At 36.6% G+C, this 26,568-nt stretch overlaps 1 protein-coding gene and 1 pseudogene across 58 annotated transcripts in view; one reads left to right on the plus strand and one right to left on the minus strand.

Annotated features, from left to right (window-relative positions):
• The window catches only part of RALYL (RALY RNA binding protein like), a 739,058-nt gene that overhangs the window by 641,695 nt on the left and 70,795 nt on the right, over positions 1-26,568 (plus strand). For 56 of the 58 annotated variants that reach the window (NM_001413301.1, NM_001413300.1, NM_001354325.2 and 53 more), the window contains one exon: positions 25,499-25,546. The exons of the other annotated variants lie outside the window; for them this stretch is intronic. In NM_001413301.1, coding sequence (NP_001400230.1) covers positions 25,499-25,546 — 48 coding nt within the window. The remainder of the gene's footprint in view (positions 1-25,498; positions 25,547-26,568) is intronic. 58 annotated transcript variants of the gene reach the window in all.
• On the minus strand, positions 3,895-4,479 carry LOC100421444 (glucosamine-phosphate N-acetyltransferase 1 pseudogene; annotated as a pseudogene).

The following is a 26,568-nucleotide window of genomic DNA, read 5'->3' on the forward strand; positions in this document are numbered from 1 at the left end:
CATTATTTTTCTCAGAACTAGAAAAAGCTATTTTAAAATTCAAAGGAAACCAAAAAAAGAGCCTGAATATCCAAAACAATCCTAAGTAAAAAGAACAAAGCCAGAGGCATTACATTACCCAACTTCTAACTACACTATAAGGCTACAATAACCAAAACAGCGTGGTACTGGTACAAAAACAGACAATAGACCCATGGAACAGAATGGAGAACCTGGAAGTAAAGCCACACACCTACAGCTATCTGATCTTTGACAAAGCCAACAAAAATAAGCGATGGGGAATGGACTTCCTATTCAATAAATGGTGTTGGGATAGCTGGCTAACCATATGCAGAAGAATGAATCTGGACCCCTACCTTTCACCAGATACAAAAATTAACTCAAATTGGATTAAATATTTAAATATAAGACCTCAAACTATAAGAATCTTAGAAAATACCATTCTGGACATCAGCCTTCGGAAAGAATTCATGGCTAAGTTCTCAAAAGCAATCACAATGAAAACAAAAATTGAGAAGTGGGGCCTAATGAAACTCAAGAGCTTCTGCATGCAAGAGAAACTATCAAGGAAGTAAACAGACAACGTACAGAATGGGAGCAAAATATTCACAAACTATATATCTGACAAAATGCTAATATCCAGAATCTTTAAGGAACTTAAATCATCAAGCAAAAAAACAACCCCATTAAAAAGAAGGCAAAGGACATGAACAGACATTTCTCAAAAGAAGACATACAGGCTGCCAACAAACATATGAGTAAATGGTCATCATCACTAATCTTCAGAGAAATGCAGATCAAAACCACAATGAAATACCATCTCACAGCAGTCAGAATGGCTATTATTAAAAAAAATTAAAAACCACAGATGTTGGCAGGGCTGTGGAGAAAAGGGAACATTCATACACTGTTGGTGGGAATGTAAATTAGTTCAACCACTGTGGAAAGCAGTCCGGAGATTTTTCAAAGAACTTAAAATATAACGACTATTCAACCCAGCAATCCCATTACGGGGTATATATCCAAAAGTAAACAAAATGTTCTACCAAAAAGACACATGCACTCACATGTTTATCACAGCACTATTTACAATAGCAAAGACACAACCAGGTGCAGTGGCTCACACCCATAATCCCAGCAATTTGGAAGGCCGAGGCAGGCAGATCACCTGAGGTCAGGAGTTCAAGCCCAGCCTGGCTAACATGGTGAAACCCCATCTCTACTAAAAATACAAAAATTAGCTGGGCATGGTGGTGCATGACTGTAATCCCAGCTTCTTGGGAGGCCGAGGCAGGAGAACCGCTTGAACCCAGGAAGCAGAGGTTGCAGTGAGTCAAGATTGTGCCACTGCACTCAGCCTGGGAAATAAAGCAAGATCCATCTCAAAAACCAAAAATATAGCAAAGACATAGCATCAACCTAAATGTCCATCAATAGTGGGCTGGAAAAAGAAAACGTGGTACACATACACCATGGAATACTACACAGACATGAAAAATAATAAAATTATGTCCTTTGCAGCAACATGGATGTAGCTGGAGGTCATTATCCAAAGTGAATTAATGCAGGAACAAAAAAAATATATTGAATGTTCTTACTCATAACAAGGAGCTAAACATTGGCTACTCATGAACATAAAGATGGCAGCAGCAGAATCTAGGAACTACTAGAGGGGGAAAGGGAGGGAGGGCAGAAGTTTGAAAAACTGTTGGGTACCATGCTCACTAGGTGATGGGATCAATCATACTCCAAACCTCATCATCATACAATGCACCCAAGTAACAAAACTACACATGTATCCCCTGAATCTGAAAAAAAAAAAAAAAAAAAAAAATGCATGCCTTCAACGAGGAGCTTTCTTTGCTTTGCAATAGAGCTCACTATTGGAAGGAAAATTAATGTATGTGAAATGTTTGCTGGGTATCAGAAATAACATAAGTTCCTAATACTCCAGCCTGTTCTCCTGCTCTTGCTTTGCAGTTGAGAAAAAAATTTTACCAGTAGCTTAATGAAAAATTTAAAATACTAGGGTATACCAAAAATGTCATCATTTTTTAATATTAGGCCAGTATGAGACTGCTCTCTATTTGGGAATTAGCAGTTTATCATCTCTGAGGAAATTAGTCATCCCAAAAGACAATCAAATGTTGACATTTGACATGCCCAGTAAACTACTAGGACCCTTCATCATCACGCTCCAATGAGGCCCACCAGTCGATAAGCCCTGCCCACATGTACATCTACACACTCATTCACACACCCACCCACACACATACGCCCAAACACACCCCCACGCCCCCGCCACACACACTCACAAAGCTGACAGCCAGGTTTTTGATGCCTTGCCCCGAAATATAACCTAATCAACAAGGAAAGAATCACCAGACATTTGAGGAAATACTCTAACATGGAAGAAAATCCCAGAGAAAATCAGATTTCCACAGAAATAGGGGAAATATAGAGAGTACAAAACTAAACAAAAATACTAAAAAACTCATAATTAATGCCCCTAGCAATAGGAAAATGTATCTACATTTAAAAGTATTACTTAAAAGAATATATGAAGAACAAGAAAAATCTTCTTAGAAATTAAAAACCTTATAGCAGAAATGAAAAATTTAATAAAAGTTTGAAATATGAACTTAAAAGATCAAAAAGATAAACAGATGGAAAATAGTAAAGAAAAGGTTTTTAAACAATCAGACCCTTGCTCCAGGGGTTCAATATCAAGCTAACAGTGTTTTCACAAAGAGAAAACTTAGAGGACAACATTATTCAATCAGAATACAAGAAAATATCCTAAAACTGAAAGATACGAGTTTTCTAATAAAATATGCTCACCACAATAAATGAAAGATGACCCAAACTAAAACAGTTTACTGTATATAAGACCTTAAATGTCTAAATAGAGGAATAAAAGCCACATACAAAGAATGAGAATAACATCAAATTTTTCAAGATTAGAACGTGCAGACAATAGAAGAATGCCTTTAAATGTCTTTTGATCACATGAATAGACTTATTGTAACATGGAATGCTCAAGATTAGTGCCAGTAAAGTATCTAATTCTGACTTCAACTTTTAAAATAATTAAAATCAATAAAATCAAAACAGGATAGTTACCAGAATAACAGTGCCATTATAACCACATTAAAAAGAAAAGCTTCCATCAAAATTTTATGGTATGACAAATCCAGTACAATATATTTTATTAAATATCGCATTCCACTCAATTTTGTAATATTCCATTTTCTGATGAAAATGTTATTCAGAAGAGAGGCTTCAGATAAAAAGAAAAATTGAAGTAGAAGTACATACGTTGAGATTTCCCAATTTTACCGTTAAAAAGTACGTTAGATGTCCTGCAATAATTTGTTCATAAGTATCTTTAACAAATGAATAATTATTAATATATTTCACAGATAAGCCACTTGGTAATTTTTACTGACATAGAACTATATAAACTTTTAGTAAAACATTTAAATTGTTTTACTTTGAATCTCCTCACATTTTATAAGTTAGTTTTCATTTATTCTGCTTCTTTAAAAGGCGTGGCCAGGTTGTTTGTCCATAATAGGATCAACAAATATTGAACTGCACTAGATTTGTATAATAACTAATTTATACAATTTAATATGTGGGAAATTATACCTCTCTGTGTATTTAGATATGTTTATTTGAAACAAAAATAATTAATTTTATGCATATGATAAGAAACAGCCTATTAAATGTATATATTTTTAAAAATAAGCAGCACAGATAGCAGATACAGAACTCTTTACTGTCAGTACTCTTGACTACCAAGAAATGAAGCCACACTCTAGAAAAATGCAATGCAAGAAAAGATTCAAGTTATCCCTTTGGGTAAAAATCATCCCCTTAATAATATTCTTTTGTAATCTAAATTCACAGCATATCCCATCAGCCCAAGGTAATCTTCTAAAATGTCATTATATTTGCAGTATTATAATTTTTTTTCAAGCCAGTATTTATGGAGGTCACTGGGCTACGGCAACAAAACATTTTAACTCCAGGGAGAGTATAGCTTTGTAGGATTAGCTCCTTTGACAATTGTCTTTCTAAAAAGATTTTTACTTTAGAAACCTCTGACATATGTAGTTTTCTTCAGATCCAATGTATCCAAATGTTTTGTAAAAACCAACATTTTGTGGTAGACATTCAAGAGTAATCTTATAACAGTTCAGTTTCTTGCTTAGCAAACTACAAGTTGATAACAATTTGCCAAGCTGTCTTCCTCTGCATTCACTGCTAACAACATCTACTCTTTCTCTCTTAGCACAGGAAAGGATGAATTTATGTACTATTATCAGAGTTGTCATGGCAACACTGTCACCGAGTCACATCTTCCACAACTGTAACATAATGAACCACAGATTTCTTTGTATGCTCAAAATGCTTTATACATTATCAAGGTTGACAACTCCAGTGGCAGTTCGCTGACCCACTACCTTAAAAAAAAAAAACCCTAGGTTAGTTATATTAGTCCATTTTCATACTGCTATGAAGAAACACCCGAGACTGGGTAATTTATAAAGAGAAAGAGTTTTAATGGACTCGCAGTTCCATGTGGCTGGGGAGGCCTCACAATCATGGCAGAAGGTGAAGGAGGAACAAGGCACATCTTATGTGATGGCAGGCAAGAGAGCATGTGCAGGAGAACTGTCCTTTATAAAGCCATCAGATCTCCTGGGACTTATTCACTATCATGGGAATAGTACAGGAAAAACCCACTCCCATGATTCAGTTACCTCCCACTGGCTCCCTACCATGACATGCAGGGATTATGGGAGCTACAACTCAAGATGAGATTTAGGTGGAGACACAGCCAAACCATATCATCAGTAGACAAAGAGGCCTTAAACCAAGCCTTCTGGGAGATGTGTTGGTGAAATAACTGGAGCATATATAGCTGTATTCTGATTCCAGTCCACTTCTTTAAGTAGACTTGGGTCAAACAGGAGTTTCATGAGGTTTCATCTTTCCAGTAAGTCTGTTTGATAAACCTGAGGCAGGCCCACTATGCCCCCCAGGACACCAGGTCCCACTCTCACTTCCCAACCCCCAGCCCCTCCTCAGTGCCTTTAAAATTTTGAAGGAAGATTATTTCCAGCCAGAAGGCCCAGAAAATCAATCAAACCAAACACACTGTCAATCAAGCACAAAGACTTTTAAAAGATACAGGTGACTCTTGTTATTTGTGGAAGTTATATTCTGTAAAGTCACAGCGAACACTGAGTTAGCAAATACTGAACCATTGCTCCTAGCGGAAATAGAGGGCTAGATCCCTATGAGCCTCTGATCACAACATTTTTGCCAACCAATCAATACATAAACTTGCTGTTTGTTTCTGTTTAAAGACTCCATGTCTTTAGTGTATGTTATATCAATATATGATGTTGATTCATTAACATCGAACTCACAGCCAGCAGCACAACTCATGCCTGAAGGAAGCTCATCTAAAGAAGCTCACATATTTTCTCTATAAGACACATCACAGCATTTCAGCACTATACTGGGGGGGGGGGGGCATTTTAAGCTGCAAAATCACCAAGAAAAAGCACAAAAGTATGAAAAATGAGGCACTAAATAGATCATAACATAGATGCTTATTTGCAGTATGAACTGAAACAAAGAGGCAGTGTCACCTCATTGGACCTCATCTAGGAACATGTAACTCAAAATGTTTACCCTCTATGCATGTTTCTGAATGATCATAAAAACCCTGCGAGTATTAATTAGGAGGTCACAAACAAATTTTGCAAAGTTGCAAATATAGAATCCATGAATAATGAGAATCAACTGTATTTTCAGAAATATAATTATTCACAAGCTATTTCTAAGAAATCTAAAGGTTGTTTCACCAAAATTATCGAACTAACAGAAAAAATGGGGGGTGGGGGTCTAACACAAAAGGGAAGGAAGTCCCCAAGGTGGCTGGTGAAGAGAAGTACCAAGATGACAGCTTTGTAACAGACCCAAAGAGAACCAGTCTGGGTTGCAGCAGGACAATGGAATGCTCCAGGAAGAATGAAAAAAGTAGACCATTATAAGTGCCAAGTAAACAATGATTGTACAAGAAGGAAATATAATCATTGCACAGTATGTTCCTCAGCTGTAAATAATATTTATATGGTTATATCAATATAAACATTGAATATTGACCTAACCAAACAAAAAAGAATTAATGAGGAAAAAAAATGGAAGTTCACAAATTCTTCAGTACAAGTAAACAGAGCAATATTTTGAGGGCTCAAAGAGGACTCACTTTTGAGTATAAGGTTTTTTTCTAGAAACTAAAGAATATTAGATAAAATGTTTTCTTAATAATATTCAGAAGGAAAGTACCTCTAAGAAACATTTATAGATTATAATAAGAAGAGATTAATATGGAAAATATCAGTTAACTCTTTAAGACACCAGATGCAATACAATGCCCCATTTGAAGCAGTAAATTAAAGATTTGATATTGCAGAGGAAAAGAAGGTCAATAAATGATATTAAGGAAAATTAACAAATATTCCATGAGAAAAATAGAGGAAAAGTAAAATGGCAAAAATGAGAACAAAAGAAAAAAATGGGATGAAACACCATTGAGTTTAATCTGTAAATAATAGCCATTACCAAAGATGACAATTTTATAGAACATGAGTCAATAATAAAAAGTAAAATATATAATTCATTGATTTTTCTAAATGAGGCATTTAGAATTTGAAATGTAAAGAAATCTATAGGAATCCATAAATTTAAAAAGAGACTAACTTTAAGACAAAAGGTAAAATCGAACTCAGTTTTCTCTGTGATGTACTACTGTGAAGATAATCGTGGAGAATTTTTGTGGGAAAGGATTGTAACACAAGAACTCTGTGTTCAGCTATGTCATTTTGTATGTGTGAAGATGCCGGAAAGACATCAACAGAAAATTATGATGTATCATGTACCAATCCCAGATAAAATTCTAGAAGGGTAGTCACTCACCTGGTTTTGTCTATCCTGAACACCAGCATCTTAAGGATCAACCTGTTTTACAAACGTATGTTTAACAAATATTTAGTCATGTTCTTTAACTGGGAACTTTATGGAAGGGTTAAAGTGATTCACTGAAAATGACTATGTAGAAAAATAATCAGGGAAGGGGAAAATTTGACATTTAAAAAATTCAGCTGGTAAAATAGTGATGAGATTTTTTAAAAATTTTGAATAATAGTAATAGGAGGGAGACTATCTCTTCTACAAATTCATGATTTAGGGATAAAAATTGACAGTAATCAGTGGGGAAAAAAATAGAAACCATAACAATAAGTCATGTTCACACAAAAAGGTCATAATTGACAAAAGGTGCAAATCAGTTCTTTTTTGCTTCTATAATATTTGTATGAAATACTCATTTTAGATAGTATGTGTCCAGTGCAGTATGAGCTTGTAACAAAAAGACAATAGAGGACATGTATAAATAGCTAGGTATTTTGGGAAAATGGGCAATGCAGAAAATCAAGTGCATGTGCCTAGAGGAATGACAATGTTTAGTATAAAAAGATTTGCTAAAATCTTCAATATTTTAAAATAATAATGGTGATAAAAAGCTGTCCTCTCATTTTAATTTGAATACGTTTACTGTTTTATGCTGAATTAATATTCCCCACTTGTTTTTGCTACAGTCTATTGTGTTTAAGTAGTTTTCTTATTACTATTTTACTTTGAATATAAGAAATGCCTCTTAAATTTTATCAAATGCCTCTTTAGTATTTACAGATAAAATCTGTAATCTCTTTTAATTTGTTTTTGTTCCAGATTACGTTGATAGATTTCCAGACCTGAAACTGATACTAATGACCTCTTTCTGGTTTACTTTGGCTTATAGGTTGCTCTTTTTCTAATGAGATTAGGTCTGAGTTCTTTTCTTTTTCATCTTTTTTCTTTAAGAATGAAGGCATCTAAAGCTGTAGATTTTTCTGAGGCAAGTATTCACTGTGTCTCACAGGTTTTGGAAAAAGTATTGTTTTTATTTCTTTCTAGAGAATATGTAGTGCAATTTTTCTTTTTTTGACTTCGCATCAGTTTGGTTGGGGAGAGTCAAAGAAACTGAACTAGTACTAAGGGAAAGTGAGCCAGATTTAGGGTATCAGCTTTTGAAAATCTGTAGGTGGATATCTAAATGTTACATTTTAACAATGTAACTTAATTTTAATGAAATTATGAAACTTTAACTTGAAAAATATCCCAGAACTATATAATGCTATAATGCATTAATCCTCTTCTCTAAAAAGAATCCCCAACAAATAGTTTTCAGACTCTTGTGGCATATGTATCTGTGTGTTATATTACAACATACAATGTTGTGTCATGGTATTTTCCATTTTACGATTCTATTCTTTTTTAAAACATACTAGAAGCTCAAGGTATTGGTATTCATTATCTTATTTCTTTGTTAAATTTAGCAGTAACATTCTTCCTTATAATTACTACCCTTTAATACTTAGTCTGCCTTCTGGAGCCACAATGAAGAAATTCAATTCCTCTTCCACTTGACAGGCTTTCAAATATTTAAAGTTAGGCACCCTTCTTCTCTAGCTGTCTTCTCAAAGGCTCTTCTCTAGCCCAACATCCTTCTCTAGCCCAAACAACCTTATTTAATTCAATTATTTTTTATATAGGGTCATTGTCTTGAGACTTTTTGCCATCCTAATTTTCTTCATCTATACGGATCCTAGTTGGTCAAAATTATTCTAAAAGTGCACTGACACATACTAAACTAAATATTTCCAATGATGGCTCAAAGTGAAAGTCCAATGGAATTATTACCCTTTTTTTATAGACACTAAAAATCATTTAATGCCAATTAAGATTTCATTATCTGGCCGGGTGCAGTGGCTCATGCCTGTAATCCCAGCACTTTGAGAGGCCAAGGCGGCTAGATCATTTGAGGTCAGGAGTTTGAGACCAGCCTGGCCAACATGAAGAAACCCTGTCTCTACTAAAAATACAAAAATTAGCCAGGTGTAGTGGCACACACCTGTAGTCCCAGCTACTCGGGAGGCTGAGGCAGGAGAATTGCTTGAACCCAGGAGGCGGAGGTTGCAGTGAGCTGAGATTGCGCCATTGCACTCACTCCAGCCTGGGTGACAGAGCATGACTTCGTCTCAAAAAAAAAAAAAAAAAGAAAGAAAGATTTCATTATCTTTGTGGCTTAATATTGAGATTGCAATTGACAAAAACACTCAAGTATTTCTTACAGCAATATCTGGGAAGCCATAGACAAGGTAGTCTATGCTATGAACTTTGATTATATTGATGCCTTGGTTCTCTCATATATAAAGTCAAGATAATATTAATACTAACTCATAGAATTTTGAAGACAATGAAATTATTTGATATATGTAAAGCATTTAGAATAGTGGCTGATAAATGCTAAGCCTTCAGTAAATGATAACTGTTAACATTATTATAATTATTATCATCTGTTTTGACATCATTCTCCAACATTTTTAAAAGCTAGTCTCCACCATAAAGAGCTTGTGTAGTTGATACATTTTCCCTTGAAGGAAAACTTTGAAAAAATCATTTTAATTCAGTATGTTAAATCATAAAAATATCAACTGCATGAACTATGAAAAACATTTACCTGTAAATGGACAAGTGTACTCTTCGACTACGTGTCACATATGGTTATTCTCAACAAACATGGAATATAAAAACACAAAACATGCAAAATACAACACAGCCTAAACTGGGTTGTGTCAGTCAGGATCTGCAAAAGAATATTGGAATAGAAAGTGCTTGGAACAGCTACTACCTCTGTGGCTGAGGGAGAGTACTCAAGGGAAAAATGAAGTTGAAGAGAGCCTCTCTCCCCAGGGTTGAGATGCAAATCTCACTGGAGGAGATGTGTTTGCAGCTGACTTGAGGTCAGAGAAGTCTATGAGGATGTTAGTGGACTGGAGGTGATGAGTAGGAAACCTCTGCTGAGATGCCCATGGTTATCACTGGGCCTCTGATAAGCTGCTGGTAGCTGTGCCAGAGAATAAGAAGAAAAGCACCTGGAAAAAGAAGCTCCTTCTTCTTCTATGCCTTGCAGTTTTCCTCCAGCACCCTGTACTGCCAAACTTTAACACTGTGTCAGCAGGCAAAGGAGGAAGTCCAGCTCCACTATTACAAAGCAAGCTCAAAAAAAGGGTAGATTTAGAGCTGACCAGCAATAAATTGATAGATGGAAGAAAGATCTAACCCAATATCGCAATTGTAATGCTCTAAACATTCTAATATCAATATACAGGTGTTTGAAAATTTGAATGAAAACACTTTACTTTTCTACAGAAAGTAAATACTATAGCAGAAAGTTCCACAGATGTGTAACATTCGATTTAAAAAAATATCTTTGGGTGACTAAAACACCTGCCTTTTCAGAGCTTATGATCTAGTGAGATAGACTCATAAACAGCCAAATACAATATAATATATTTAGATAGAAGTGTGCTTAAGAAGCTGTAAGAATGAGACCTGAACATTAATGACTACATTGAACAGTTAAAACAAAGAGATGGATCATAGTCTACAGGATTTTGACATGAGCCATCCTGGAATATTTTACCCTGAAAACTTCAGTGTCAAGAAATTCTGATAAATTAGATTAAGTTCAAAGAAGAGAGACGGTGATAATTAATGGAAGGGAAAGACTGGCTTGTGAGGGGAAAGGCTAACAAAAATAAATCTATACAAATTAGCTAAGTGACAAGAGAAGCAGAGAGCTGACAAGCATGAGTTGGATGTAAATTCAAAAAAGCTATAATCAAAGAATAGCACAGAAAGTGGAATTTAGTCTAATTCAACAAACTTTATAATGGGGGAAGATGTGGAGCTTGATTTAGGCCTTTAAGAATGAACATATTGGCTGGGCACGGGGGCTCACGCCTGTAATGCCAGCACTTTGGCAGGCCGAGGTGAGCGGATCATCTGAGTTCAGCAGTTCGAGACCAGCCTCAACATGGAGAAACCCTGTCTCTACTAAAAAAAAAAAAAAAAAAAAAAAATACAAAATTAGCTGGGCATGGTGGTGCATGCCTGTAATCCCAGCTACTCGGGAGGCTGAGACAGGAGAATTGCTTGAACCTGGGAGGCAGAGGTTGCGATGAGCCAAGATCGTGCCATTGCACTCCAGCCTGGGCAACAAAAGCAAAACTCCGTCTCAAAAAAAAAAAAAAAAAAAAAATGGACATACTTCCAGCAGAAAGAATATACCACATATGTTGATGGATGGAGAGTATAACAGGAAACCTTTTGTTGAGCCATCAGTTGAGCTAATGCAAAAGATTGTGTCAAGATACAAGAATGTCTCTGCCTGAGAGCAAGGAGATTTTTTTTTTTTGCACCAGAGTAGAGCCAGACAGAGCGTAGGTGCTGAGAAATGCTGACGGATTAAAAGAGTAATTGAATGAATAGTGAAAGAATGTCAGAGAAAGGAGCTACATTTTGGAGAGTGCTGAATGTTGAAGAGATCTGTATGTTACCTTGTAAGCCATGGGGACTAATTGAAGGGTTTTATGCTGTTGCTGTTATTTTTATTTAAGTATGCTTCCTAACAGACACAGTAGAGAGAAAAGTAACAACATACCCCATTCAAAGTGATAATTCCAAAATCAGAAACCCTGTGTTACTAGCCAAAAGAAAGAAAAATAATAGGATTTTTCTTCCTCCTTTTCTCATTTCCAAAATTTACTCTTCCTACATTCTGTCACTGGTCTATCAATTAAAGTAATCATCCTTTAAATGTGTGAGACAGTAAACTTGACTCACAGCAAGCAAAGAATGAGAGCTTTCTTAAGTTAGGTGGATTATTTTAATCTTTAGAACTTCTTAGCCATTTTCTCTTCCTCAGGTGACAGGTCCTGATTCACCAGTAGCGAGGAACTCTGTGAAGATATCATAATTATTTAGGTCCCATTAGGTTTCTCCTCACTTTCTCCCCCATTACAAAGGTCCTTGAAAATAAATTGAATATTTCATCAATGAAACTTAGACTAAGTAGCTTATTTCACTGTTTTTGAATTTTGTATATATGTGTGCATACGTATTGGTGACATACACCAAAGTAAAAGTAAAAATTTATATGTATTCCCTAAAGTGAAATGAACAGATTTTTGTTCACAATATTAGATTGGCAAAGTTTGTAAATTTGTTTAACTTTAGATACTCTGACAGCTAGAAACCTACACCAACATTTTATGATGAATTAGAAGAAGGATCCTGTAGATACACCTAAGGATACCTCTGATTTCACCTTATCCACGGGGAAGTATGCTCTGGAAATTCAGCCAGTTAGTTGAATTATATCCTGCATTATTTTTACATTATATCTTCTGCATTCATAATTTCTAGAACTAACCATGGGTATTCTGAAGAATAGCTGTGCCAAAGAGAGAGAATAATCTCCATAAAACATATTGTCCATACCTGTTCCACATTTTTCTACCACCAGATTTCTTGATCATCTAGAAATACCTACCCTTTGAACATTCACTTGTCAAATCCCTACTCTTTGCAAGGTCCAGTTCAAATGCCAGCTCTTTCATGAAGCCGTGTTTGATCCCTGTGTCTCACTCACCACCTCCTATTTCCCCTCCTTATAAGCTCTCATAGAAGTTCTTATTTCAGATTCAGTTATCAAATTCTGCCTCAACTTACGGTCAACTGTGTATTTGTCTAATCTCTTATACTTAGATTGAAATTCCTTGAGGTTAGAAGTCATGTTTTACTGATAATGTTATTCACAACTCCTAGTATTGCACCTGACTTACAATTAAGAACTCAATAATTGATTATTCAATTTAATATAGAAAGCCAGTTATCGCAATTGAGAAGGCTCTAGTAGTAGTTATTATTGGCAAGATGTTTGCTAAGAACACATTAAAATGTTTCCTACTTGTGCTAGGAAATTTATTAGTATTCTTAAGATTATATTTTAATGAAGTTCGGTGAGGGAAAATAAGAAGAAATACTTTGGGTATTAGCCTACTCATATGAAACTGGCTTTATGAATTCAAAGGGATTAGATAAAATTGATTACGTATATTGTAAAACCCAATGAGTTGTGATTCTTCTATAAATGAAAAAGTTTAAATGAAATTTCAGGAAAGTTACTTGGTCCTCATTTAATCTTCAGTAATAAAAGAAACAGTGTGGATATATGGCTCTAAGCAATTACTTTAGCAATTCTGATTCCCCATTACATCTTGAGAGAATGTGAATGATTAAGGACACACTGAGAAGTAGGATAAAATTAGTAAAGGTGTACTGGATTTTTAAATAAACAATATGAAATATTTGTTTGCACTAAACATTCAAAACCATCATTTCATTTTTCTAGAAGGTCAAATACCTGCCATAAGCCAATGGTTATGCTTCCAAGCAATAGAAACCTCAGCATTTCCTTGGTTGAGTTTCATCCTAGACAGTGCCCTAAACTTCTATTTTATTATCATTTTTGTTTTGAGTTACCTAAGAACCAAATAGTCATACTAAACTATTAAAGTGAGAGCGACAAAAGTTCTTCTCTTAAAAGCCAAAATAGATCATCCCATAAGGATCACAGTACCACTCTCAGTTTATGAGGGAGAAAAGGGGTGTGGGGCAGGGATTTTTCTTAACTGAAAAACCAACTCTTCTTAGCAATACAGTTCTAGGATATATAAAATTCTTTAAAAAACTGAATATGACTCCTCACAATGCCATCTTTTGGTGGGTGATTTCAAATAGAGGTTCACTCAGAAAGAAAAAGGGGATTTTTATGAAAGAGATAGAATCTGGAAAGAGAGAAAAGGATCCCCTCCCCCACAAAAAAGGACTGAGGAGGGTGGCAGGAACATTGGGGAAACAATAGCTAGTGTGAATCAGACTTGCCCTGGTGTGATCTTTGGATCTCTTTGAATCTCTTTCTCTTTCTTGGAAATCCACCTTGATTTTATAGCTTATGACCTGAGCCAACTACTGCCATGACATTTCTGCTAAAAGCCCAAACCATTAAGACAAAAGCAGTCTTGACATGATTACCAAGACAGGTCTGTTTGTGCATTTCATTTTATTTTTAACTTTGACAGATAAAATTGAGTTTATGATGGCAGGCAGTGGAACCTGAGAATCAAACAATTCAGAATACTTAGCTATAACTGGTTCTTGTAAATACATCTTAGCAGTCAGGATTGAACAAAAAAAAGCAGGTTGGACAAGATAATTTAAGCAGCAACTGAGAAAAATAAAAATGAATTTTCTTTTCCTGTGTACTTTTAAATTCCCAGAAGGCTTTTAAATTATCGAAGTATTTACTGAAGGTATAAGACACATAAGTGGAAATCATTACTGTCATCTATATTAATAATGCCTTTATAATTGATGAGTGTGTCGTATTTTCTTCTTGCAATTAAACTCTGCTGTCTGAGATTACAGCATAAAAAAGAGTCTCTGAAAAAAATTATAAAAACAATTTGGGGGCGGCAGGTGGGGCCAAGATGGCCAAATAGGAACAGCTCCAGTCTACAGCTCCCAGCATGAGCAACGCAGAACATGGGTGATTTCTGCATTTCCAACTGAGGTACCAGGTTCATCTCACTGGAGAGTGTCAGAAAGTGGGTGCAGGACAGTGAGTGCAGCGCACTGAGTGTGAGCCAAAGCAGGGCGAGGCATCACCTCCCCCGGGAAGTGCAAGAGGTCAGGGAATTCCCTTTCCTAGTCAAAGAAAGGGGTGACAGACGGCACCTGGAAAATCGGGTCACTCCCACCCTAATACTGCGCTTTTCCAATGGTCTTAGCAAACGGCACATCAGGAGATTATATCCCGCACCTGGCTCGGAAGGACCTACGCTCATGGAGCCTCGCTCATTGCTAGCACAGCAGTCTGAGATCAAACTGAAAGGGGGCAGCGAAGCTGGGGGAGGGATGCCCGCCATTGCCCAGGCTTCAGTAGGTAAACAAAATGGCCAGGAAGCTCGAACTGGGTGGAGCCCACCACAGCTCAAGGAGGCCTGCCTGCCTCTGTAGACTCCACCTCTGAGGGCAGGGCACAGCCAAACAAAAGGCAGCAGAATCCTCTGCAGACTTAAATGTCCCTGTCTGACAGCTTTGAAGAGAGTAGTGGTTCTCCCAGCACGCAGCTGGACATCGGAGAATGGACAGACTGCCTCCTTAAGTGGGTCCCTGACCCCCAAGTAGCCTAACTGGGAGGCACTCCCCAGTAGGGGCAGACTGACACCTCACACGGCCAGGTACTCCTCTGAGACAAAACTTCCAGAGGAACGATCAGGCAGCAACATTTGCTGCTCACCAATATCTGCTGTTCTGCAGCCACGACTGCTGATGCCCAGGCAAACAGGGTCTGGAGTGGACCTCCAGCAAACTCCAACAGACCTGCAGCTGAGGGTCCTGACTGTTAGAAGGAAAACTAACAAACAGAAAGGACATCCACACCAAAACCCCATCTGTACGTCACCATCATCAAAGACCAAAGGTAGATAAAACCACAAAGATGGGGAAAAAACAGAGCAGAAAAACTGGAAACTCTAAAAATCAGAGTGCCTCTCCTCCTCCAAAGGAACGCAGCTCCTCACCAGCAACGGAACAAAGCTGGACAGGGAATGACTTTGACGAGTTGAGAGAATAAGGCTTCAGACGATCAAACTACTCCGAGCTAAAGGAGGAAGTTTGAACCCATGGCAAAGAAGTAAAAAACCTTGAAAAAAAAATGAGACAAATGGCTAACTAGAATAACCAATGCAGAGAAGTCCTTAAAGGACCTGATGGAGCTGAAAACCAAGGCACCAGAACTACGTGATGAATGGACAAGCCTCAGTAGCCGATTTGATCAACTGGAAGAAAGGGTATCAGTGATGGAAGATCAAATGAATGAAATGAAGTGAGAAGAGAAGTTTAGAGAAAAAAGAAAAAAGAAATGAACAAAGCCTCCAAGTAATATGGGACTATGTGAAAAGACCAAATCTACGCCTGACTGGTGTACCTGAAAGTGACTGGGAGAATGGAACCAAGTTGGAAAACACTCTGCAGGATATTATCCAGGAGAACTTCCCCAATCTAGCAAGGCAGGCCAACATTCAAATTCAGGAAATACAGAGAACGCCACAAAGATGCTACTTGAGAAGAGCAACTCCAAGACACATAATTGTCAGATTCACCAAATTTGAAATGAAGGAAAAAATGTTAAGGGCAGCCAGAGAAAAAGGTAGGGTTACCCACAAAGGGAAGCCCATCAGACTAACAACTGATCTCTCGGCAGAAACTCTACAAGCCAGAAGAGAGTGGGGGCCAATATTCAACATTCTTAAAGAAAAGAATTTTCAACTCAGAATTTCATATCCAGCCAAACTAAGCTTCATAAGTGAAGGAGAAATAAAATCCTTTACAGACAAGCAAATGCTGAGAGATTTTGTCACCACCAGGCCTGCCCTAAAAGAGCTCCTGAAGGAAGCACTAAACATGGAAAGGAACAACCAGTACCAGCCACTGCAAAAACATGTCAAATTGTAAAGACCATCGAGTCTAGGAAGAAACTGCATCAACTAATGAGCAAAATAACCAGCTAACATCATAATGACAGGATCAAATTCACACATAACAATACTAACCTTAAATGTAAATGGGCTAAATGCTCCAATTAAAAGACACAGACTGGCAAATTGGATAAAGAGTCAAGACCCATCAGTGTGCTGTATTCAGGAAACCCATCTCACATGCAGAGGCACACATAGGCTCAAAATAAAAGGGTGGAGGAAGATCTACCAAGCAAATGGAAAACAAAAAAAGGCAGGGGTTGCAATCCTAGTCTCTGATAAAACAGACTTTAAACCAACAAAGATCAAAAGAGACAAAGAAGGCCATTACATAATGGTAAAGGGATCAATTCAACAAGAAGAGCTAACTATCCTAAATATATATGCACCCAATACAGGAGCACCCAGATTCATACAGCAAGTCCTTAGAGACCTACAAAGAGACTTAGACTCCAACACAATAATAATGGGAGACTTTAACACACCACTGTCAACATTAGACAGATCAACGAGACAGAAAGTTAACAAGGATATCCAGGACCTGAACTCAGCTCTGCACCAAGAGGACCTAATAGACATCTACAGAACTGTCTACCCCAAATCAACAGAATATACATTCTTCTCATCACCACACCACCCTTATTCCAAAATTCACCACATAGTTGGAAGTAAAGCACTCCTCTGCAAATGTAAAAGAACAGAAATTACAACAAACTATCTCTCAGACCACAGTGCAATCAAACTAGAACTCAGGATTAAGAAACTCACTCAAAACCACTCAACTACATGGAAACTGAACAACCTGCTCCTGAATGACTACTGGGTACATAATGAAATGAAAGCAGAAATAAAGACGTTCTTTGAAACCAATGAGAACAAAGTCACAACATACCAGACCTCTGGGACACATTCAAAGCAGTGTGTAGAGGGAAATTCATAGCACTAAATGCCCACAAGAGAAAGCAGGAAAGATCTAAAATTGACACCCTAACATCACAATTAAAAGAACTAGAGAAGCAAGAGCAAACACATTCAAAAGCTAGCAAAAGGCAAGAAATAACTAAGATCAGAGCAGAACTGAAGGAAATAGAGACACAAAAAACCCTTCAAAAAATTAATGAATCCAGGAGCTGGTTTTTTGAAAAGATCAACAAAATTGATAGACTGCTAGCAAGACTAATAAAGAAGAAAAGAGAGAAGAATCAAATAGACGCAATAAAAAATGATAAAGGGGATATCACCAGTGATCCCACAGAAATACAAACTACCATCAGGGAATACTATAAACACCTCTACGCAAATAAACTAGAAAATCTAGAAGAAACGGATAAATTCCTCGACACATACACCCTCCCAAGACTAAACCAGGAAGAAGTTGAATCTCTGAATAGACCAATAACAGGCTCTGAAATTGAGGCAATAATTAATAGCTTACCAACCAAAAAAAGTCCAGGACCAGACAGATTCACAGCCGAATTCTACCAGAGGTACAAGGAGGAGCTAGTACCATTCCTTCTGAAACTATTCCAATCAATAGAAAAAGAAGGAATCCTCCCTAACTAATTTTATGAGGCCTGCATCATACTGATATCAAAGCCTGGCAGAGACACAACAGAAAAAGAGAATTTTAGACCAATATCCTTGATGAACATCAATGCAAAAATCCTCAGTAAAATACTGACAAACCGAATCCAGCGGCACATCAAAATGCTTATCCACCATGATCAAGTGGGCTTCATCCCTGGGATGCAAGGCTGGTTCAACATAAGCAAATCAATAAACGTTATCCAGCATATAAACAGAACCGATGGCAAAAACCTCATGATTATCTCAATAGACACAGAAAGGCCTTTGACAAAATTCAACAACCCTTCATGCTAAAAATTCTCAATAAATTAGGTATTGATAGGATGTATCTCAAAATAATAAGAGCTATCTATAACAAACCCACAGCCAATATCATACTGAATGGGCAAAAACTGGAAGCATTCCCTTGAAAACTGGCACAAGACAGGGATGCCCTCTCTCACCACTCCTATTCAACGTAGTGTTGGAAGTTCTGGCCAGGGCAATCAGGCAAGAGAAGGAAATAAAGGGTATTCAATTAGGAAAAGAGGAAGTCATATTGTCCCTGTTTGCAGATGACATGATTGTATATCTAGAAAACCCCACTGTCTCAGCCCAAAATCTCCTTAAGCTGATAGGCAACTTCAGCAAAGTCTCAGGATACAAAATCAATGTACAAAAATCACAAGCACTCTTATACACCAATAACAGACAAACAGAGGGCCAAATCATGAGTGACCGCCGATTCACAATTGCTTCAAGGAGAATAAAATACCTAGGAATCCAACTTACAAGGGATATGAAGGACCTCTTCAAGGAGAACTACAAACCACTGCTCAATGAAATAAAAGAGGATACAAAGAAATGGAAGAACATTCCATGCTCATGGGTAGGAAGAATCAATATCGTGAAAATGGCCATACTGCCCAAGGTAATTTACAGATTCAATGCCATCCTCATCAAGCTACCAATGACTTTCTTCACAGAATTGGAAAACACTACTTTAAAGTTCATATGGAACCAAAAAAGAGCCCACATTGCCAAGTCAATCCTAAGCCAAAAGAACAAAGCTGGAGGCATCACACTACCTGACTTCAAACTATACTACAAGACTACAGTAACCAAAACAGCCTGGTACTGGTACCAAAACAGTGATATAGACCAATGGAACAGAACAGAGCCCTCAGAAATAATGCCGCATAGCTACAACCATCTGATCTTTCACAAACCTGACAAAAACAAGCAATGGGGAAAGGATTCCCTATTTAATAAATGGTGCTGGGAAAACTGGCTAGCCATATGTAGAAAGCTGAAACTGTATCCCTTCTTTACACCTTATACAAAAATTAATTCAAGATGGATTAAAGACTTAAATGTTAAACCTAGAACCGTAAAAACCCTAGGAGAAAACCTAGGCAATACCATTCAGGACATAGGCATGGGCAAGGACTTCATGTCTAAAACACCAAAAGCAATGGCAACAGAAGCCAAAATTGACAAATGGGATCTAATTAAACTAAAGAGCTTCTGCACAGCAAAAGAAACTACCATCAGAGTGAACAGGCAACCTACAGAATGGGAGAAAATTTTTGCAACCTACTCATCTGATAAAGGGTTAATATCCAGAATCTACAATGAACTCAAACAAATTTACAAGAAAAAAACAAACAACCTCATCAAAAAGTGGGCAAAGGACCTGAACAGACACTTCTCAAAAGAAGACATTTATGCATCCAAAAAACACATGAAAAAATGCTCACCATCACTGGCCATCAGAGAAATGCAAATCAAAACCACAATGAGATACCATCTCACACCAGTTAGAATGGCAATCATTAAAAAGTCAGGAAACAACAGGTGCTGGAGAGGATGTGGAGAAATAGGAACACTTTTACACTGTCAGTGGGACTGTAAACTAGTTCGACCATTGTGGAAGTCAGTGTGGCAATTCCTCAGGGATCCAGAACTAGAAATACCATTTGACCCAGCCATCCCATTACTGGGTATATACCCAAAGGACTATAAATCATGCTGCTATAAAGACACATGCACATGTATGTTTATTGCAGCACTATTCACAATGGCAAAGACTTGGAACCAACCCAAATGTCCAACAATGATAGAGTGGATTAAGAAAATGTGGCACATATACAGCATGGAATACTATGCAGCCATAAAAATAATGAGTTCGTGTCCTTTGTAGGGACATGGATGAAGCTGGAAACCATCATTCCCAGCAAACTATGGCAAGGACAAAAAACCAAACGCCACATGTTCTCACTCATAGGTGGGAATTGAACGATGAGAACACATGGACACAGGAAGGGGAACATCACACACCAGGGCCTGTTGTGGGGTGGGGGAAGGGGGGAGGGATACCATTAGGAGATATACCTAATGTTAAATGACGAGTTAATGGGTGCAGCACACCCACACGGCACATGTATATGTATGTAACTAACCTGCACGTTGTGCACAAGTACCCTAAAACTTAAAGCATAATAAAAAAATTAAAAAAAATAAAAAATTTAGTCACGTATTTCCTTTGTGAGCTTATTTGGTTACATCTGAAAATACTGAGAACTTTTATTCCATGAAAATGATTGTCCCCTCAATCAATAGCAATTGAATGCATCAAATATGTCTAGCACCATTTCTGCTACACAGTAAATACTCAAATATATTTATTGGAATTAGCAACCATTCCCTTTTCTTTGCATCCTCTACATCTGTTGTTTTTTTATTTTTTAACAAAAGCCATTCTGAGGGGTGTGAGATTGTGGTTTTGATTTGCATTTATCTAATGATTAGTGACGATGACCATTTATTCATATGTTTGTTGTCAGCTTGTCTTCTTTTAAGAAGTGTCTGTTCATGTCTTTTGCCTTCTTTTTAATAGGGTGGGTTTTTTGCTTGAAAATTTATTTAAGTTTCTTACAGATTCTGGATATTAGACCTTTGTCAGATGCACAGTTTATGAATATTTCCCCCATTCTGCAGGCTGTCTGTTTACTTCCTTCATAGTTTTGCTGTGCAGAAGTTCTTGAGTTTAATTATGTCCTACTTGTCAATTTTTGATTTTGTTGCAATAGCTTTTGAAAACGTAGCCAATATCAAAAAGGGGATTTCCTAGGTTTTCTTCTAAGATTTTCATATTTTGAGGTCTTACATTTAAATATTCAATCTATCTTGAGTCAGTTTTTGTATATGGTGAAAGGTTGTGGTCTAGCTTTATTCTTCTGCATATCAGCCAGCTATGATGGCACTATTGACTAGGGAGTCCTTTCCTTATTGCTTAGTTTTGTTGAATTTTTCAGAGATTAGATGGCTGTAGGTGTATGTCCTTATTTCTAGGTTCTCTATCCTGTTCCATTGGTCTATTGTCTATTTTTGTACCAGGACCATGCTTTTTGGTTACCGTAGCCTTGTAGTATAGTTTGAAGTAGGATAATGTGATGCCTCTTGCTTTGTTCTTTTTGCTTAGGATTGCTTTGGCTATTCAGGCTCTTTTGTTGTTGTTGTTCCCTATGAATTTTCAATAGTTTCTTCCAGTTCTTTAAAAAATGATGTTGGTAGTTTTATAGGGATAGCATTGCATCTGTAAATTGCATGGGATAGTATGGCCATTTTAATGATGCTGATTCTTCCAATCCATGAACAAGGAGTGTTTTTCTATATTTTATGTTGTGATTTCTTTGAGCAGTGTTTTGTAGTTCTCCTTGTAGAGATCTTTCACCTCCTTGGTTAAATCAATTCCTGGGTATTTTATTTTTGTTTGTGGCTATTGTGAATGGGATTGCATTCTTGATTTGGCTCTCACTTTAAATGTTATTGGTATATAGAAATGCTACCTATTTTTGTGTATTATTTTTCTTTGCCAGATTTTGGTGTTAGGATGATGCTGACTTCATAGAGTGAGTTAGAGAGAAGTCTCTCCTCCTTGACTTTTTTGGAATAGTTTCAGTTGGATTGGTAACAACTCTTTTTTATTTGTCTGGTAGAATTCAGCTGTGAATACATCTGATCATGAGCTTTTATTGATTGGTAGGTTTTGTATTATGGATCCCATTTCAGAACTTGTTACTGGTCTGTTCAGGTTTTCAGTTTCTTCCTGGTTCAATTATGAGAGGTTGTGTTTCAAGGAATTTATCCATTTTCTCTAGATGTCCTATTTTGTGTACATAGCAGTGTTCATAATAGTTTCTGAGGATCTTTTGTATTTCTGTGGGATTGATTGTAATGTTATCTGTGTCACTGATCTTGTTTATTTATTTAGAGAGCCAACTTTTGGTTTTATTGATCTTTTGTGTAGATTTTCACATCTTGGTTTCATTCAGTTCTGCTCCACTTTTGGCTATTTTTTTCTTCTGCTAACTTCGGGGTTAATTTGCTCTTGTTTTTCTAATTCCCCCATATACTGTATTAGACTGTTAATTTGGGAGTTTTCTAATTTCTTCGTCTACCAGTTTAGTGGAAAGTCTTGGGAGATGGGCACCTGTGGCCATGTCTTGCTGCCGCTGCCCCCTACACAAAATCCCTTGGGCTCTGCCCAGACAGGAGCTCCACCTCTGCCTATTTTCTGAGCAGATTCCCCTGCCAATTCAAATGTCTGTGGGGATCATGGCATCTCTTATAGCTAGGATCCCAGAGGTCTGTGGCGAAAGTGGTTTGCCCCACAGTCACTTCACTCAGCCTTCCTTAATAGCCATTCAGGGCTGGGAATTAGTCCTGGCACTTGGCATCCCCATGCAGGGTCCCCAGCTTCCTCCATCTTCAGCCTCAGTTACTGTGTCACCTCTCTGTTGACTCTCAGTGTTTTCTCTCAAAAGATCTGCTTTAAGTATGTAGGTTTAGTCCACATTTTGGTGTCTCTTGGTGAGACAGGCACTTTCTGGCTGCATCTAGTTAGCCCTCTTGTTCTGATCTCCTGAGGTGACATTTACACCTTAGGGTTTGATGGTAGCCAATAGGTGGGCTTTAGCATCCCTCAACTCAATGTCACAGTTGTATCTATACTATTAGAATAAACTAAAGCAAAAACCATTATTATTTTAATAATCCATGACTGCCAGACAAAAGTGGCTATTTCCTTCTTACACTTTAGGCAGTGGTCTCATTGTCCCCTTGGTTTGCATAGATGGATACAGCATTGCTCTAGCCATACAATGCTCAGTCTTCCATTCAGATGCTCAAATGGAGTAAGTTCTTACTTTATATTTCAGCACCTGAACCCAAACACCATGTGTTCCATTTGACAGAACTGGAGGCAGACTTTACCTTCATGGATTAGGTCTGCTCTTAGATCAGGATTTTTCACCCTCTATGTAAGAGCATGAGGAGCTATAAATAAATCTATCCTTAAAGCCAAAATAACAAGCCCATCTTAATAAGGTTATTTCAGTTAACATAAGAATAGTTACAAAGTAAAGGTCTGTTAAATTTATTTGGAAATATAAAATTATTCCTCCATTATATAGTAGTTTCTCAAAACGTTAAACATAGAATTACCATATGACCGAGCAATTCCACTTCTAGGTATATACCTAAAAGAGATGAAATCAGGGAATCAGACACTTTTGCACCAGTGCTCATAGAAACACTATTCATAATGGCCAAGATGTGGAAACAGCCAAGTGTCTATCAACAGATGAATGGGTAAAGAAAAAGTGATATGTATGTCAGTATACATATATATCTATAGGGGTGATATAGATAATATTTACATATATTTTAATAATATTCTATTGGAGTAATACTTTTAAATATTTTGTGTGTGTGTGTGCATATATATATGTGTGTGTATATATATATGTGTGTGTGTGTATATATATATATATGTATATATCTCATCCCAATGGAATATTGTTCATCCTCAAAAAGGAATGAAATTCTGATACATACTACATGGATAAACTTTGAAAATATTATGCTAAGTAAAATAAGCCAAACACAAAAGAACAAATATTGTATGACTATATGATTGTATGATTTGTATTTGTATTAATGACAGAGGCTGGAGAGGCAGGAATGGGAAGTTATTGTTTAATGAGTATAAAGTTTCTGTTTAGGTTGATGATAAGGTTATTGAAATGGGTAGTGGCAATGTTTGTACAATTTTGTGAATGTACTTAACGCCATTGAATCATAAACTTTAAAAAGATTAGAATAGTAAATATGGAGTTATGTATGTTTTGCCACAATAAAAAGAAAACGAGTAAGTAAACTTTTTTTTTTAAATTACTCCCCTGTGGTACAGTTACTCCATTCATCATCACATTAAGACTTCTTCCAGGTTGGGGAGTGTTGCGAGATGTTGTCAAAATGACCCCACTTGTGAAATCAGAAAACTTTCCCTTAAATCTCAGCTCTGTCACCTAGTAGGAATGCAAATTTGAGCAAGTCACTTAGGTCTGTTGCACCTTAATTTCTTCAGGTTATGCTGTCCAACAGAGTTGTTTTGATGACTGTAATTGAAATGCATATAAAGTGCTTCGTAAATTCAAACAACAAGGCAAGTGGATGGAGGTGACTTTTTAAAATATATTCTTTTAGGGAGCTTAGTCGTAATACTGTTATCTCTGAAATGCATTTACTAATTCATATTTAAATATACTAAAATATTAAGGTATTGTTGGTAAGACAGCCACAGTTATTTTTCTAATTTTTCTCTATTTAAAGTATTGAATCCATAGTTTTAGAATTAAAAAATCCTGAATTTCCAAGGAACCACATTTCTATTCACCATTTCTATAATGAATGGGTTATTAAACCTTTCCATTTATCTTATTTCAATACCTTTTGTTCATTATGTAGCCTCATTGTACATACCTTAGGAAGAAGGGATAATTATATTACCTCAGAGAGAAGGGACAACTATATGATTATCTTGTCTGAGATGAAAAACTATGGTCTTCATTCATACCTAATTAAAAGTTTTTTGTTTTTGTTTTTTTTTTTTTGAGACGGAGTCTCGCTCTGTGTCGCCCAGGCTGGAGTGCAGTGGCGCGATCTTGGCTCACTGCAAGCTCCGCCTCCCGGGTTCATGCCATTCTCCTGCCTCAGCCTCCCGTGTAGCTGGGACTACAGGCGCCCGAAAAGTTTTAACTTATTTATTTTGCTACCTGTTCTGATTTTCATTCCAAACCACACCATTATCAGTCCCTACATTGTCAAACATGTAATAATAATTTGGCATGACATTATATCAAATTGGACATTATCTTGGAAGGTCCTTTGGATGCATAATTATATTGAAAAATAAATATTTTAAAAGTAACAAATTTTATGCTATAACATCATAAGTTAATAATAAAATTAATGTCATTGAAACAAATGCCAACTAATTTTTTTGTTTCCCTCTTTAGCGGTTATGTCTTTGACTATGATTACTACAGAGATGATTTCTACAATCGGTATGTGAATTTTTCATCCTTGTTTTCCTATGACTTAAATTATCTTTTAACCATTTTGTACATTTTATTCATGGGTGCTCTTAATTATGGTATTTAAAACAATATTATTATAGTTAAAAATAAAATACTAAATCCCAACAAAATATACAGATTTTTATATTTTCATTATACTTACTTGAGTACAGTGGATCTTGGAATTTTAGGACTTTGGAGGTGCTCAAACCTAAGATTTGGTGTCTAATATTTAGATAAAATCCTAAAGATTTAATTAACTAATATTATCTGCCAAGTCATTTGTTGATTTAGAATCCTTCAAGATCAAGAGTTTGAAAACTCAGAAAAATAACTCCAACCTTCTGAAGTCCATAATAAAACATTGAAAATGCTATATTGGGTAGAGTCTGTAAAATTTACAGATCGTTCCTGCTTTGCAGGACAGTAGGAGGCCACAAAGGTGATGATGCAAGATGAGACCATCCAATGAGGAAAAAACAGGATTGTCTCATGATCTTAAACATGTTTGTCAAAACATTAACAACTTTTATTCTCTTCTCTATAAACTAATGGGAAACTATAGTAAAGCTAATTGTTATTTAGTATACTATAATTTAAAACAATAAAATATTAAGAATTAAGGTGTTTTAGTTCTTTGTAAAGAACACTTATCAAAAGTAGTTGAAACAGTGCATGCCTTCTCATTTCCTAACTCAGGACAGGATACGGAGTAGGCATCTGTTTTATCCCTTGTTGGATACTCCTCTCTAAGGTTGAATTAGCTTTGACATTCTATCAATGTTGTGAACTATCTCTGAGAGTTCTTTCAATGTGTGATTCTCTTGCCAGGGTCACTTCCCCTCCATAGCGTTATACGTTTCATCACATCACATCCACTTTCCTCACTTATGTCGATAAGTTTGCCTTTACTAAGTTCCTCTGACTCCATACCTAGAGTCTCTTGAGTAGAGGAGTATCAATATCCCTATAATGAGCTATTTCTTCTGTAATTTCATTTACATTTAATT

The sequence above is a fragment of the Homo sapiens genome, chromosome 8 (genome assembly GCF_000001405.40).
Source record: "Homo sapiens chromosome 8, GRCh38.p14 Primary Assembly".
Lineage (NCBI taxonomy): Eukaryota > Metazoa > Chordata > Mammalia > Primates > Hominidae > Homo > Homo sapiens.